At 42.4% G+C, this 16988-nt stretch overlaps 1 long non-coding RNA gene across 1 annotated transcript, besides 1 other annotated feature; it reads left to right on the forward strand.

Annotated features, from left to right (window-relative positions):
* The first annotated feature begins 23 nt into the window (after positions 1–23).
* Positions 24–8569, forward strand: LOC105372880 (uncharacterized). The gene is made up of 3 exons (XR_922484.2): positions 24–291; positions 7709–7867; positions 8264–8569. It is a non-coding gene; the product is annotated as an uncharacterized LOC105372880 (long non-coding RNA).
* Positions 8258–8397: an enhancer, noted in NCBI's record as "active region_2446". NCBI's record gives its function as "activates an Ori minimal core promoter by ATAC-STARR-seq in GM12878 lymphoblastoid cells {active_cell/tissue: GM12878}" and the evidence as "EXISTENCE:reporter gene assay evidence [ECO:0000049][PMID:35858748]".
* Positions 8570–16988: the final 8419 nt, after the last annotated feature.

Raw genomic sequence — 16988 nt, forward strand, 5'->3', positions numbered from 1 at the left:
TCGACTCAATCTGACTCCTCCTATGCACCTGCTATCATTTCCTTTTATCATCTAGCTCCCATTCCTGTATTTCCCCAAACACCAAAAACACATTGCTGCTGGACATGTTTTTTAAAAAGCATTTTTAAAGGTTTAGCAATAGCAGAAGATTATTGCCAAAAGAAAGCAGAAAAACAAGTTAAAAACAAATAGTAGGTGTCAATGTTGCACAAATTTGCTAACCTGCACTGACCTAGTGTATACATCCAACCAACTAGTTAACCAGTTGGGCCTCAGTTCAGCAACTGATAGGTAAGATAATCATTATTTTTTATCCAACCATTACCTGACTTGGAATAACTATCATGCTCTTTTCTTCTAATTAAAAACATCATATAATATGTAGAATATAAAGGTAAAAATTCAGAGCAGCGAGGCAGGCGGATCACGAGGTCAGGAGTTTGAGACCAGCCTGGCCAATATGGTGAAACCCTGTCTCTACTAAAAACACAAAAATAGCCGGGCGTGGTGGTGGGCGCCTGTAATCCCAGCTACTCAGGAGGCTGAGGTGGGAGAACTGCTTGAACCTGGGAGGCGGAGTTTGTATTGAACCAGAGATCGCGCCATTGCACTCCAACCTGGGCGACCGAGTGAGACTCTGACTCAAAAAAAAAAAAAAAAAAAAATTCCGGAGCAGGTATTCTCATGCAATTAGGAGATGTTTATTGTCACTACAGAAACAACCTTTCACTGCTCCCTGGCCTACTACAACCTTGTTGATCTTTTTGCTGCCTCTCTTTCCTGATCATGTGCTCCAGCATTCTATCTTTCAGGCCATCAACGTAAAAACTAAAAACTCTTGTTATTCTGTCACACTGAATAATTTGGCTCCTGATTTTTTGAAACCTCTCCCTATCTAGACTGGCCTGTGGCCTTGCCTCCCAGAGCAAAAGAACTTCCTTCATCAAGCTTCCCTAAACAAAAGAGCAGTTTTTCCCCAAGAAGAATTTTGCTATTCTGTCATTCTTTTAAAATGCTGAAGTAGCCACTAGAAAATTTGGTTTTATAAATGACTTTTTCTTGTTTCATGCTGCTTTTTTTTTACTTCTCAATGTTTCATAAGTATTTTATTATTTTTGTAAAGGCATGTAATAATATTCCATAGATATACCCTACTTTACTTAACTATCTCTTATGGTTGGGTACGTTTGCAGTGAGCTATGATCGCACCATCACACTCCAGCATGGGCAACAGAGCAAATCCTATTGGCTTTACTGTTGAAACATGGTAGTAATGATCCACATGAAGATACCTAAATAACTTTGTTACAAACCCTACCTACTTAGCATACAGTGGGCAAAGCTGATTAATCTCATATTTAGAAGTTGTATGAACAAGCGCAACATTGCACCTCCTACAACTGTGAGTAAAATAAATGTCGTTCTCATCTTTGCATCTGCCTATAAAGCTTATTTTAATAGAAATGAAGATAACATAAAGACTATATGGTTTACTGACTGATTCTGAATCAGAGAACTTGGAGAAAGAAAATTATATGATCAAGACTTTAAATTCTCAATTCAAGCTTGAATAAAGAACAAGAAATTTTTTGAAGGCCCCCCCAAAATTATCTCACGTAGTCAACGAGTAAACATTTCTTAAAAGAAAAACAAAACAAAAAAAAGAACTAAAGTTATATCCTGTGGGTGACAGACTTACAATGAGAAATGTTTATTTTGAAGAGGCTTTAATGAACTTCCCAAAGAAGTTACCTTGGAGGGGAATGCTGATCCTCATCAAGACCCACCTCCAGCAGCTCTCATTGGTTCTAGATCTATAATTATTTTTAAGTTCTCTCAGCTCCCCAGGCTTGATTTTATGTGTGACCTGGGAGGAAGTATTATATACATGGAAAGAATTTCCAGATTTCTCTTATTTATGTCTGTAGAAATCCAGGGAATATAAATGGGAGTGGATCTTAAACATGTTAGACCAGAGTGAAAGAAATATGTCATATATATATTTTTACCAGGTGAGTGCTAGCATTAGTGCATTTTCAGCATGAGAGCACTAACAAAAGATTCTGGGTTTGATGCATTAGCTTAGACAACTGGGAGTGGCTCTAAAAATCTGCTCCACTGGTTGACTAAAACCTAAACTCAAAGGTGACCTATGCTGAATAGACTGGAGAATGTCAGAGCTTTCTAAGTATATTGTAGAGGAAGGTATCTAACCATAAAGGAAATTTCTGCTTCCAGCAAAGGTGGAAAAGAGGAACTGGGTTTATCCTCCCGCCTACATAACAAAAAAATAGATGACATATAGGAAACAATTATTTGAAAGACATTGGACATCAGATAATGAAGGACTGGGATCCCTGTGAGATGGGAAACAAATGATGTAAGACTTATGATTGCCCTACTTTACTGTCTTGAAAGAATCTCCAGACTGCTGCACAGGGAAGGGGAATGAAAGTGGAGGGCAGTGAACTACCTAAGTTGAGACAATACTGAGAGTATGGGGAGATCAAGGAAGCTAGGAAGGTAAAGTTCACAGGACAGAGACATAGAAGAGAACTGCAGAAAAAGAGAACTTTGGAGATCTGCAAAAGGTGCTCTTGAGTATTTAGCTGAATACCATTCAATGCATTCATGTGAGAAAAATATTCATGGTTAGAGAAAAGGATTACTTGTGACAGTGCTTGCCATTCACAAAAGGGCAGTGGTATGGTTTGAATATGTGTCCCTTCCAAATCTCATGTTGAAATGTAGTCTCTAGCGTTGGAGATGGGGTCTGGTGGGAGGTATTTGGGTCATGGAGGAGTATCCCTCATGTATAGCTTATCCTATTCCCTTGGTGATGAATGAGTTCTTGTGAGATCTGGTTTTGTAAGAGTTTGTGGCAGTCCCCTGTCCCCCACTCTCTTGCTCCTGCTCTGGCCATGTGAGACATCAACTTCTCCCTTTGCCTCAACTTCTCCCTTTGCCTTTCACCATAATTGAAAGCTCCCTGAGGCTTTACCAGAAGCCAAGCAAATGCCAACACTATGCTTCTGTAAACCCTGCATGAGCCAGTTAAGCCTCTTTTTTTTTCCTTTCTTTTCAGACAGGGTCTCACTCCTGTCACTCAGGCTGCAATGCAGTGGTGTGATCACGGCTCATTGCAGCCTCAATTTCCCAGGCTCAGGTGATTCTCCCATCTCAGCCTCCTCAGTAGCTGGGACTACAGGTGCATGCCATCATGCCCAGCTAATTTCTTTTGTATTTTTTATAGATACAGGGTTTCACCATGTTGCCCAGGCTAGTTTTGAACTCCTGCACTCGAACAATTCACGTACCTCACCCTCCCAAAGGCCTGGGATTATAGGCTGAGCCACTGCACCCAGCCTAAACCTCTTTTCTTTATAAGTGATCCACTCTCAGATATTTCTTTATGGCAATGCAAGAACAGCCCCTAACGCAGGCAGAAACTGTGCCTGTTTTCACCAGCTTGACTGAAAATTAACAATTCATGAGGGTTTATGTAGCATGCCAGAAGATTTTGGCTCTGGAATTGGAACAATTATCTCCAGATTGAGCACTGCTCTGGCCTCACCTAAAAAAATATTAAAATCAAGACCCCAAAAGATCACATATTTTAGGTAAACTGCACAAAAGCATGAAGTGCAAGAATGTTTACAGAAGTACAAAAATATTCAGCACCAATAAGGTAAAATTCAGAAAGTCTACTATCCAATAAAAAAATTAGCAGTCATGTGCAGAAGCAAGAAAATACAGTCCACAATGAGGGGATAAATCCATCATTTGAAACCTACTCAGACTGGCACAGATGTTGGAGTGAGCAGATAAGGACATTACACAGTTATGACCATAGGTTGTATGTTCTAAAAGGTAAGTAAAGGCATGGAAAGTACAAAAAAAAGATCTAAGTTGAACTTTTGGAAGTGAAAACTACAACATTCAAAATGAAAAATACACTAGATAGGATTAACAGTGGATTAGACATTTCGGGAAAAAAGATGAGCAAACATGAAGACATAGTAATAGAAAGTATCCAAAATGAAACATAGAAAGAAGAGAAAAAAGGACAGAGCATCAGTGAGCTGTAGGATAATTTCAAGTGGTTGAATATATATATGGAATTGGAGTCCTCAAAGATAAGGAGAGGGAAGGGAAGACAGAAAAAAAAACTATTTAAAGAAATAATGGCCAAATATTTTACTAATTTGTTGTAAACCATAACACACAGACCAAAGAATCTCAACAAATTACAGGCACAAGAAATATGAAAAAAAAATTCACCAAGTCATATTTTAATCAAGTTACTCAGAACCAATTTAAAAAATTATAAAAGTAATCAGAAATAAATATTTATGTACAGACGAAGAATGATATGAGTGAGAACACATTTATTGTCAGAGACAATATGTATTCATCTGTTCTCACACTGCTATGAAGAAATATCTGAGACTGGGTAATTTATAAAGAAAAGAGGCTTAATTGATTCACAGTTCCACATAGCTGAGGAGACCTCAGGAAACTTACAATCATGGCAAAAGGCAAAGGAGAAGCAGGCACCTTTGTCAGATCCGGGGGTCTGGGTCTAGCCCATGCTGAAGTATGAGGGAAGTGGGTGGATGGGCAGAAAGAACACTCAGGGGGCCTTAGGCAGGTGAATATGGTTTTATTCAGCAGCAGCTCTCATTAACAACTTTCTCACACTAGCTCTTTATGCTGTCTTCCCTGTCTCAGCTGCTTGAGCTAGTGGCTCCCACATACAGCTGTACAGCCGGCTCTGCCCTGCCTTTCGGGTCAGCAGCTTAACTCTTTCTGTCTCTGGGCACAAGCCAGTCGAGCTATGTCCTAGCTCCCTCCTGTTCATCTGCAAGATGGATAGCTCTGACTCTCTCTTTCTCTGGGCACAAGTGCACCTGCTATGTTGAGCCAAGCCAAGCCCACGAGCCGCTGTATAGCATTAGCAGGGCAATTATACCTTTCACAGGCAATAGTGGCTCAGAGCAAAGTATGAACTTATACAAACAGGTTATATAACAAGTGGAGGTTTGCACCTGTGCACCAAACTTGCTGATTCCTGCAGGCCTGGATATCCGCCTTGGTCTATTCTTCGACCAAAGCACATCCGTGTACCTTACATTCCATCCCCTAGGCCGAGGGAGACATAGGCCTTGGACACACAGGTTTGATACACAGGTTTGGCACACAGGCCTGATATATAAACTTTGGGCATGCAAACCCAATACATACACATAGGCTTGACACATAAGCCTGACCCATAAGCATTGGGCACGCAGGCCCAATGTATATATACAGATTTGACACATACATAAGCTGTGATAAACTGCCCAGCTATTGGCACAGATTACCATCAGTGTTACCTTCTTGGTGATTACCATTTACATTGCTGTGAGTTTAGCTCATTAGCTACTTTGCGTACACTGGTTTTAAACCATATGGTGTCAGTACTAGGCTGGACTGCAACAACAGTCGAGGCAGCAGTAGCACCTTGGCTAGACCCATCTGTATACCATGCCCTATTAGGAATGGGGGGACGCTCTTCCTAATGGTGAAAGCATAGGGTCTAGGGATGCCTTAGGCCCCACAGTCTTATTTTGCATTAGGACTACAGGTCCCAAGACTTTTTGCAACTTTGCTGCTAAGGGACTTGGCATACTTTGCTGCTCCAAGTAGGCACCCCACTTTGCTAAAGTGGATGTCTGTGCCTTCCCTGTCTGGGGGGTTGTTCCCCATGAACACACCCCTCCCGCTACTAGGTAAGTGGCCCATACGATGACTGTAACCCATCCTGACACACTTTTGTGAGCCTAAAGGGCAGCATATGCAGTTACTGTTTTCCCAGTTGAGGGGGTGGTTACCCATGAACACACCCATCCTGCTGTTACTAACTGCTTCTCTACCAAGAAATACTGGAGCTCAGCTCCCTTCCATAGTTGGGACCAAAAGCCTATTGGCATGCTCAGGCACTCCATGTGCTGCTATAAGCCCTAACTGAAACTCATCTGTGGTGACATGCACATCTAGCTTAAATGGGCACCTCTAGTCGACTACCCATTGGGCTTGTGCCTGCTAAATAACCTATGTGCCAGAAAGACTCTCTCAGCCACATCATCCAATCCCAAGCAAGAGTGGTGTTGCCACTTCTAAATCTGCAAGAGAATCAGAGGTGAGCATAACATCATTAATAAGACCGTGATATATGGTGGGGCTATGCATATAGCCCTGCAGCAACACTGTGAATGTCCATCATCGCCCTCCTATGAAGACAAACTGTTCCTGGCTCTCTGGAGCAATGTTTATTGAGAGGAATGCATTGGTCAAGTCCACCACACAGTGGTACTGTCCCAGTTCTGTTGTCAAGCGATTCATCAAATCTGTGATGGAGGGTACAGTTGCATGCAGTGAGGGTGTTATTCAGTTTCCAATAATCCGCTGTCATCCGCCAAGACCCATCAGGCTTTCTGACCGGCCATACCGAGGAATTGTAGGGGCTATGGGTGCCACGCACTATTTGCACCTCTTCTAACTTCTGAATAGTCTCAGTTATATCGGTATGCCTCCCTGGCAAAAGGTATTGACGAGTGGAGGTAACCCATCGGGGTTGTGGCAGAACTTGGGGCTAATGATGTGTATGTCCCCGCAGTACCAGCTTTGCTACATGAACTGGGAGTCTGAATTCTCCGGCCATGGTGTATAAGTCCAGACCATGCAAAATGTTCACCCCCAGAATATATTCAGGTATGGGAGAGACATACACAGTGTACAGGTGGGGGGCCAAGCAGCCAATGCCAAGATGCAGGAACGCAGGTTTCACCTTCACCGACTGGCCACCATAACCGTGAGTGAAAGCAGCTTTGCCCGGAAACTTATCCGGGTTCCCATAAAGAAGACAGCAGTGTGCACCAGTATCTACCAGTGCTAGGACCCACTGTACATTAGTTGGGGACGAGTGGATTACCAGCTCCACATATAGACTAGGGTCATCAGGCGCCCGCTCGGGCCGGGCACCTGGGCCAGTTCCCTAATCAAACAGGAAAGGCCCTGTATCTCCACCTGTCTGCAAATAGTCCTTGAGTTGCAGTGTCCAGGCGGGAGTAGGTTGAACAACATTGTTTTGTCTCTTCTTGGGCATTCTCTGAAATTGTTGCTCCGGGGACAATTGCCTCCACAGAGCCAACAGCATTCCATTGGGTCGCCTGTCAGTTTTCTCCCAAGCAACCCCAGCTGCAATTAAATCCACATCTGCATGAAAGCCACCCACTGGGGCCCCTTTTTATCTCGTGGGGTGGCTACCGGTGGGGGCGGGGCACCTTCCCCTTCTTTATGGCGCGGACTTTCCGGTTCCACCGACCGCCTTCTGCTCCCCAAGGGCTGCCACAGCAGTAGTCATTTCATGTATGCAGCGCCCCACATATGGAGTGAGAACAGCAGCTACAGAGCCAAAAGCACTGGGGGGCGCTGAGCCCAGCACAAGAACCCTCACCTGAGAGGTAAAGCGTTCATTATTTGGCCCCTGGGTTTGCAGATCAAACACAGCCTGCCGCATCTCCCAGAGTATCTGCACCAAATCAGTACACGATTGCCGTTTACTCACAGTTTTTGGTATCTCTCCGGCATTATTCTAAAAAGTCCGTATGGCTGCCATTAGCCACTCAATTAACGTGTGGTCACCTTGCCTTTGTGACAACCGTAGGCGCAGCTGTAGCCGCTGATGAAGGGAGGAGTGAGTTGTGATAGAAGCCAGATTCTCCTTCCTGGAGGAGGCGCAAGAAATGCCATCAGCTCCTTCGGACACTGCCGGCACTGTTTACCTAACTCCCACAACTCAGCAGGGGTATAAGCACAATAAAAGGTGTGTTCAGGCGGGCGCGCATTGGCTCACGCCTGTAATCCCAGCACTTTTGGGAGGCTGAGGCGGGCAGATCACCTGAAGTAAGGAGTTTGAGACCAGCCTGGCCAACGTGGTGAAACCCTGTCTCTAGTAAAAATACAAAAATTAGCCGGGTGTGGTGGCAGGTGCCTGTAATCCCAGCTACTCGGGAGGCTGAGGCAGGAGAATCTCTTGAACCCGGGAGGCAGAGTTTGCAATGAGCCGAGATTGCGCCACTGCACTCCAGCCTGGGTGACAAGAGCAAAGAAGAGATGTGTTCCACCACTTTGCTGGGGCGGGCGGGGGGCGGGGGTCGTCCCTGGGTTCTCCACTGGGGTCCCATCAGCTGCTTATGTTCTACCTTCTGACGGATTACAGGGTGAGCCCACAGTGGTGGAGGAGCCTTCTCCCTGTCAGCATCAGACGGAACGGGAGTCTCCGGCCAGGAGGACAGGCTCAAGGTCGAGCTGACAGCTGTTTCCAACTCCTGCTTCAGGCTGTTTGTCTGAGCCTCCAAGTGCCCTGTTTGCACCTGAAGGTCCCCCACCCCCAGGTCTTGCTCCAAGCTGTGCACTTGGGGCCCCAGGCGTGGGCTTGTGCCGGAAGGTCCCTTATCTGTGGGACTGGGCATGTACTTCCCTCAGTGCAGTCAGAAACGCCCATCTGACTCTGCCATCGAAGGTGCGTTCCTTCTTGGTGCTGTGTGCTTCCAGCTGCTTTAGTGCTTTCTCCACACTCGGGGAAGACCTATCCACTGCCTTCCTCATTTCTACTGGGGCTCATCCAAGCAGCACCTCCGCCACCGGGTACCACAGCCCCCGCTAGTGCCTCATAGCCGACCCAGGAGTCCTCAGGGACTAAACACCCACTCACCTCATCCTGCTGAAGACTCTAAATGTCAGGTCCACGACTACGCCAAATGTCACGCGGGGGACTGTAGGCAGGTGAATATGGTTTTATTCAGCAATAGCTCTCATTAACAGGTTTCTCACACTAGCTCTTTACACTATCCAGCCTGCCTCGGATGCTTGAGCTCGTGGCTCCCACATACAGCTGTGCTTCTGGCTGTCCCCTGCCTTTAGGGTCAGCAGCTTAACTCTTTCTGTCTCTGGGCACTAGTGGGCCAAGCTGTGTCCTGGCTCCCTCCTGTCCATCTCAAGACAGACAGCTCTGACTCTCTCTTTGTCTGGGTGCAAGTGTGCCTATCATGTCAAGCCATGTTGCACTGAGCCAAACCCCAAGAGCCCCTGTAGAGCGTTAACAGGGCAATTATACCTTTTACAGACAATAGTGGCTCAGAGCCAAGTATGAACTTACACAAACAGGTTATATAACAAGTGGAGGTGTGCGCTTGAGCACCAAACTCACCGAGTCATGCAGGCTTGGATATTCACCTCGGCCTATTCGTTGACCAAAGCACATTCATGTACCTACAACCTTCTTCACAGGGCAGCAGGACAGAGTGAGTGCAAGCAGTTGAAATGTCAGATGCTTGTAAAACCATCAGATCTCGTGAAACTCACTATCACGAGAACAGCATGGGAGAAACTGCCCCCATGATCCAATTACTTCCACCTGGTCCCACCCTTAACACATGGGGATTATGGGGATTACAATGCAAGATGAGATTCTGGGTGGGGATACAACCAAACCATATCACATATTCAAAAACTGAATTAATAACCAGCAGATTTACCTCACAAGATAATAGTAGTTAAAGTTTTTTTAGGAAGAAGGAAAATACCAGATGGAAATATTGACCTATCCAAAGGAATGAAGAGCACCAGAAATGGTAACTACATAGATAAACATATAAGGCTTTTTTCTTATTATTCAAACACTAAGGATATTGGAATTCTGAAATGAAATATGTTCAAGCTATGCACCTGCCACCTAATTTTGCCCCAACCCATGGAATCTGAAGGCTACAACCTTCCCAAGAGTTTGAGGAATACATTGAGAGGAATTTCAGCATTCTTTAAGTCCCCTGTACTAGATTTCCTTTACAGGCCAGAAATTACAGTGGGAAATTCTGTCATCAAAAGGCCTCTTTGGCTGTGTGAGGTGGTTCACACCTGTAATCTCAGCACTTTGGGAGGCCGAGGTGGGCTGATTGCTTGAGCCCAGGAGTTCCAGACTGGCCTGGGCAACATGCCAAAACCTGTCTCTAAAAAAAAAAAAAAAAAAAAAGCCAGTCATAGTGGCACTCACCTGTGGTCCCAGCTACTCAGGGGTCTAAAGCAGGAGAATCACCTGAGCCCAGGAGGTCTAGGCTACAGTGAGCCATGATCATGCCTCTGCACTCCAGCCTGAGTGAAAGCACAAGACCCTGTCTCAAAAAAAAAAAAAAAAAAAAGAAGGGGAGGGGAGGGGAGGGGAGGGGAGAGGAGGGGAAGGAAAGGGAAGGGAAGGGAAGGGAGGGAAAAGACCTCTTTGAATCCAGTGGAGAAATTTGATCCTGAAGGGGTAAAGGCCAAGTGGTAGCACTTACTCAACAGACCAGATGGAGGAGGTTATTGTAATTAACACCCAGGCAAAAAAGCAGTACTCAGAGTGGCTGATCCACAAATATACTTGGCATTGGCTAACTGAGTAAGTTGTCCCTTTGACTGATACAGGTAAATGATGAGTGGGCACATGTGGTCCCTGAACTTTTATGGCTATTTTCCAATTCAGGAATGCATAGTTGGAATACATATGCTCAATAACTTGTAGACTACAAATATTGTTTTCCTACACAGTTTATTTTCCTGGTAGGGAAGGACAATGGAAACCCTTAGAACTTCCTCTACTTACCAAAAGACTAAACCAAAAACAATACTACTTTCCTGGAAAAATTGCACAAATTAATGTAACCATCACTTATGATTTCTGCAACATATTCATTCATCTCACCTGCTTGGCCAATGCAGAAAATGATATTGGCTTAACATTAACTTAATGAAAGCCTGAATCCAATTAGAGCCAATAAGCATGTACCCTTCTACCTGCAATGCAGCTGTTGATTCAAAGTATTTTTCTCTTGACCTGTTAATAAAATACACCAGAAACAGTTTCTTTTCACCTGGCGTGGTTATTAACACATCTTTTCTGTTCTACTTTGGGTTGTATCAATTCTCTGTCTGTCTTAATCTATCTGTAGGGACCTTGTTCACCTCTTCATTCTAAAGAATATTATAGCCCTACGGCATGACTAGGGCAGAGAGAAACCCAGGAGGATAGTATAAGGAGAGCTACAATGATCATCAAGAGCCCGACAATGCAGCTTCTTGGAACCAAGAACTTTGAGGATATTAAGGATGTTGGTCCATAGCTTAAAAACAATGGAAAGCCTTTAACAATTTTGAAAGCTTCAGGGATAGATAAAATTGTGTGTGCAAGGGGAGTGGGGGTGACTTTTTTGTGATTTCAATAACAAGGAGGAATTTATTCTATCAAATAGAACAAAATGAGATTTGCATTTTGAAGATATCACTCTCTGTGTGATGTCAAAAATGAATATGAATGGGAGGCACAAAAATTGAAGGGACATCAATTAAAAGAAAAGTGCATTATTTTAAGATAGAGATGGTAGCTTGGAATATGCTGGCAGAAGATATGGGAAGTATGGATAAAGAGGTATTTTGAACAAAAAATAGATGGATCTCAAAGATGGATTAGATATTGGAGAATGAAAAGCATGAGATATCATGGATGAACCTGAGATTTGTAAATTAGGTGACTGGATGCATGATGGTACTATTCAATGAGATTAGAAACATTGGCAGGAACCAATAACTTTGGAGGGAGTGTAAGAATTAAAGAAAGAGGAAAGATACATGAAAGGTGGCTTGACAGTTAAGGACGGGTTTATTTTAGAGAAAACAAACATGAGAGGGGCTTCTGGCTGAGTTAGGTTAGAGCCTACTTTCTTAGAGACTAAGAGTTTTTAAGGATTCAGGGTGGAAGAGTTTATCAGAGGCTTGTACTCCTTCTGTGTTTCTTTGTTGCACTTATCTGGGAGGGAGAGCTTTGTGTCTGTTCCCATACATCTTCCTGCAGCTGCAGGCATACCCACCCTCCTCCCAAGTCTGCTTTTAGCTTCCCTTAGTGCACTTAAATGGAAAGGAATGTGCTTATTAAGGCCCACTGTTTTACTGGGGCCCATTGTATGAGGGTGAAGTTTGGCAGTTACCCAAGAGACTTCCCCACCACCTCCCTCTGTGCCCCAGCTGTCTTATCTGTATTTTACTGTCTGCTCTTTCTGGGCACTTGTTGTTAGAAGAAAAGTGATTTCCTTGAAATGCATGAGGCTAGAAAAAGAGCTGGAACTTAAAGTGGCAGTGTTTGTCCAAGATGATGGTGCTCCTGCTCTGTCAGGGAGGACTGAGTTTGGTGTTTGACATATTGATACTGAAGTATCCACATGGAGAGGCAAAATAAGGTATACAGGGTCTTAGGCTTAGAAGACAGGTGTGAGCTCAATTTAGAATTTTTCAAGTCATAGACGTAATAGATACATTTGCCTGTGGAGATATAATAGAATGTGAAAAGAGCCCAGGATTCAGCCTCGAGAAACTCCAACATTTAATCACCAGACAGAGGAGGATAAACTGGAAAAAAAGATATATATGTATATAGAGAGGAAGAATGACCAGAGAGCTAAGCAGATAACCAGCAGATAATGATATCTGGGGAAGACAGCAGAACAAATTGTTTCAAGAAGAAAACAGTGGTTAATGTCAAATTCCACCAAGAACTGAAAAATGTTCATTGGCTTTGGCAATATGAAGGTGATCGTTAGTCATAATGAGAGAGACAGAGGCTAAATCAAAGTAGGTTGAACATTAGTAAAAGGTGTTGAAAAGGACAGGCCATCTGTAACTCTTTCAAGACATTAAGAAATTTGGCTGAGGCTGGGCACAGTTGCTCACACCTGTAATCCCAGCACTTTGGGAGGCTGAGGTGGGGAGATCACGAGGTCAGGAGATTGAGACCATCTTGGCCAACATGGTGAAACCCCATCTCTACTAAAATACAAAAAAATTAGCCGGGTGTGGTGGTGCGTGCCTGTAATCTCAGCTACTTGGGAGGCTGAGGCAGGGGAATCACTTGAATCCAGGAGGTGGAGGTTTCAGTGAACTGAGATCAAGCCACTGCACTCCAGCCTGGGTGACAGAGCAAGACTCCGTCTCAAAAAGTTAAAAAAGAAAAAGAAAGAAAGAAAGAAAGAAAGAAAGAAAGAAAGAAAGAAAGAAAGAAAGAAAGAAAGAAAGAGAGAAAGAAGGAAAGAAAGAAAGAAAAAGAAATTTAGCTCTGAAAGTGAGGAGAAAGGGTTAGAAGTTGGGGGAAGAAAGTCTTTTGAGATTTTTTTTAGCTCTTTTAAATGTCACGGGGAATGATCCAATGTTAGAACACAGTTGAAAATACAGGCAAGAGTGGAATTGTTTGATAGTTAAATGTTTCTGAAAAATCAGGAAAGAGTAGAATCCAAGACCTCATGTGAAAGAACTGACCTTCAATAAGAGAAGAGAGAAAATGGAAAAAAGAAAAGATGAATGCAGATGGAGGTTCCTAGAGTTGCTAGCAGGAAATTGGGAGACTAGATCTCCGACGGCTTCTCAGTGAAGAAGGAGGTGAGAAGACAGGCAGAAAAGGGTCAGTTATGGTTGGAAGGGTGAGGAGTATAAAGAAGATACAAAGTAATCATTGATAAAGTGAATTAAAAAGAGGAAAACAATGGTAAGGTTGCCACACAAGGTTGAGTCTATTTGAAATTAGTTATCCTGAATTTATCCACCAGTGCAACCTGCCATGTGGCTCTATCTCAGTGCTTAGGTAAGGAAAGCAGAAAGTAACAATGATTGAGGTTTGGGATTTTCTAAACAGTTGCCATAAGGAAGCAGGCAAAGGAGTTTGTTACTGGCAGGAGTGCTGTTGAACTTGTGGTATAGACTTTTGACTGATTAAGGAAGGAACTGAAGAAAGAGTGGGCAAATAGATTAGAATAAGGGGAAAGGCGACAGAAAGTTCTCATGAAGTCAAACGAAGGTCAAGCAGTTTGACACTGAAATAGGTAAGCTGAATGCAGTGGAGATTGTATGTAGACAGCAGGATGTCTGAATTAGAGATTTTGGAAGTGGTGCCATATTAGGACATGACAAAGTCTAGGGTGTTACCAAGGGGGTATTTTGTTGGAAGTATCTGCTTGAAATCATGTTAAATTTAAACCTCACTCTCCAAAGTCAGTATAATTACACTTATAATTTTTAATCCTGGCATTGGCGTTTATACTGTCAAAAATAAATAAATCCAATAGGGATAAGTTTGCATATTCTGTCTCTAAATCCATTCCCACAAATTGCATTTACATGTCTTCAACTGATAGCAACTGTAACAATTTATATTTAGGCTTGCAGACTTCCTCTTGATGACATTCAAATTTTTTACCCATTTATCAGAATTTCCTAAAACTGTGGTTCACAACCTTCGTTGGTTATCAGAATCACCTGGGGAACTTTTAAATTCATAAATTCTCAGCCTGTTCTGATTCAGTGAACAGTGAACCTGATTCAGTAGTTCCCAGGTGGGGCATGAGAATCTGTACATTTAAAAAAAAAGCTTCCCAGGTGATTCTGACAATTGGTCAGGGATGACAAGCATTGCCCTCAGAGATGAGTAAGTATTCCTCAGTTGACCTGCCACTGACTTCTCAATTCCTCAATACAAATTTCTGGAGCTACACATCCCAAAGGAACCAGCTTGAATGCTGGAAGAAGGAACCACAAACTATAAACTAATGGAGCTAAAATTTACCTTTTTAGGGCTAATTTATGGGTTTTGAATACTTTTAAAATATTAAGACAATTCTGTTATGTTACCACCTGGTTTTTTTTTAAAAGGGGCTACCTATTTCATGATTTCTCTTTTATAAGAGTAACACTTAGATGATAATTTTATTGCAAGACTATTATATTATAATTGTGTGATATACTTTACTGTAAAAATAGTATAATTATTTGTGATGTCAATTGCCAAGTTTTCTTATCTATGCTCCCATATCTGAGTTTTGGAAATTGAAAAAAAGAGAGAGAACTTGGGAAGCTATTGTAGAAGCCTAGGTTAGAGGTGATGATGGTGAAAACTACAAAAATAGCAGAATGGACCCAAAAAAGAGAAAAAAGTTGAAAGAGGTTTATAAGATAGAATAGACAAAGTTGGGATTAGGAATAATATCTTCACATTTCTGTAGGAGTTTGAAAACTAACTTTCTATTAATCATATCTTTAAGTGCCACAAAGTAGAAGTCTTTTTAATTTTGGTTTAAAGACAATATATTTAGTCTTATTTCAAGTTATATGATTATTCCTAATATTAGCTTATATTTTAACCAAAAAATAATCAGAGACTTAAAACCAACTTTCAAATTTGCAGTTGTAACAAACATACTTTAACCTAAAAGAAGAATTGAAAGGCAAGTGCAATGTACCTTGGTTCCTATTTCCTATGGGAACTGTTGTGAGAATTTAAGACAAAACCCATGGGGGAAGGGAGGAAGTGAATTCAATTATGTAACACAGACAAACCAGAGAATAGCAGATTAAAACAGGTGTAAAATTCACCAACTCTAGGTGAAGGAAATTAAACCCTTTTAAAGTCCATATGTTTAGAAATATAGCTCAACTACAACAACGCTACTGGAGCCTATGAGCGATCTATAAGTGTGTGCTTTCATTTTACTTCTAATCTCACAAAATAATTATTCCTAGCAATTGATAGTTTATTCCAAAAAGAAGCCTGACTTTGGCCCTCTCACTGACCTGGAAGAATTTTTGATGACATGTGTGTTAAATGTGTGATTGAGGTGAAGTAGGGATGAATAGCCAGAGCTGGTTAAAAGGATAATCATCCAAAATAATACTGACCTAGGAAAGCTTTAGGTCAAACCTGCCATATAGAAATACTACAAATATAACTATTTGTTAATATAAGTACTGTTGCATTATTAATTTTATAAAAATCTTCAAATGTTCAAATGTGTAAATTCAATATGGATACCAGGATGGCTTATGAACAGCACATGAGAAAACAACTTCATGATGTAATTAACTCAGTGAGTCAATAATGTGATAGAACTGTCTAAATCACTTCTGTCATGTTGGACCACATTAGTACAAGTTTAGTGTGCAGGAAAAAAGAGACGATAATCTCATGCTTTTCTTTGCTGATTACACTGTACAATATTGAGGTCAGCTTTGCCCCCCACATTTTAGAATGAGAGTGATCAAAATATGTTGTATCCACCAGCAAGTGAAGAAACTGGTACAAGAACTTAAATCCATAATATAATTAATAAAAGAAGTAAAATGCTTGGCCTATAGAAGGACATGATAGCTGGTGTCAGATATGGGAATTAGCAAATGACAGGATTCAGTAAGGCCAATGGTTGAAAACAGCAGGTGGGCAAATTTTGTCTCCATGCCAAAACAAGTAAAGAGAGAGGCCGGTGCGGTGGCTCACGCCTGTAATCCTAGCACTTTGGAAGGCCGAGGCGGGTGGATCACGAGGTGAGGAGATCGAGACCATCCTGGCTAACATGGTGAAACCCCGTCTCTACTAAAAATACAAAAAAATACAAAAAATTAGCCGGGCGTGGTGGCAGGCGCCTGTAGTCCCAGCTACTCAGGAGGCTGAGGCAGGAGAATGGCGTGAACCTGGGAGGCGGAGCTTGCAGTGAGCCGAGATGGTGCCACTGCACTCCAGCCTGGGCGACAGAGCAAGACTCTGTCTTAAAAAAAAAAAAAAAGTGAGGAGAGAATGCCTTAACAGATTTCAAGTCAAGAGGGGACTAATAAAGCTCTTTGCAGATAATGTTAAAACAGAGTGTATTGGTTTCAAAAAAATAAAATAAAATAAAAGAGAGTGTATTGCATAAAGCACAGGAAAGAAATGTTCAAAAGCCCCAAACATTTTCAAATATGGGTGCCAAGCTGACTATATTAAAATGACCACCTGGAAAATCATCAAAAACACAGGTTCTAGTTCCTTTATCTGGGAGATTCTGAGTTCTTTAGCCTAGATTCAGACACAGAATCTATCTTTAACATGTTCCCGGGTAATTGTG

The sequence above is a fragment of the Homo sapiens genome, chromosome 1, assembly GCF_000001405.40.
Source record: "Homo sapiens chromosome 1, GRCh38.p14 Primary Assembly".
Classification (NCBI taxonomy): domain Eukaryota; kingdom Metazoa; phylum Chordata; class Mammalia; order Primates; family Hominidae; genus Homo; species Homo sapiens.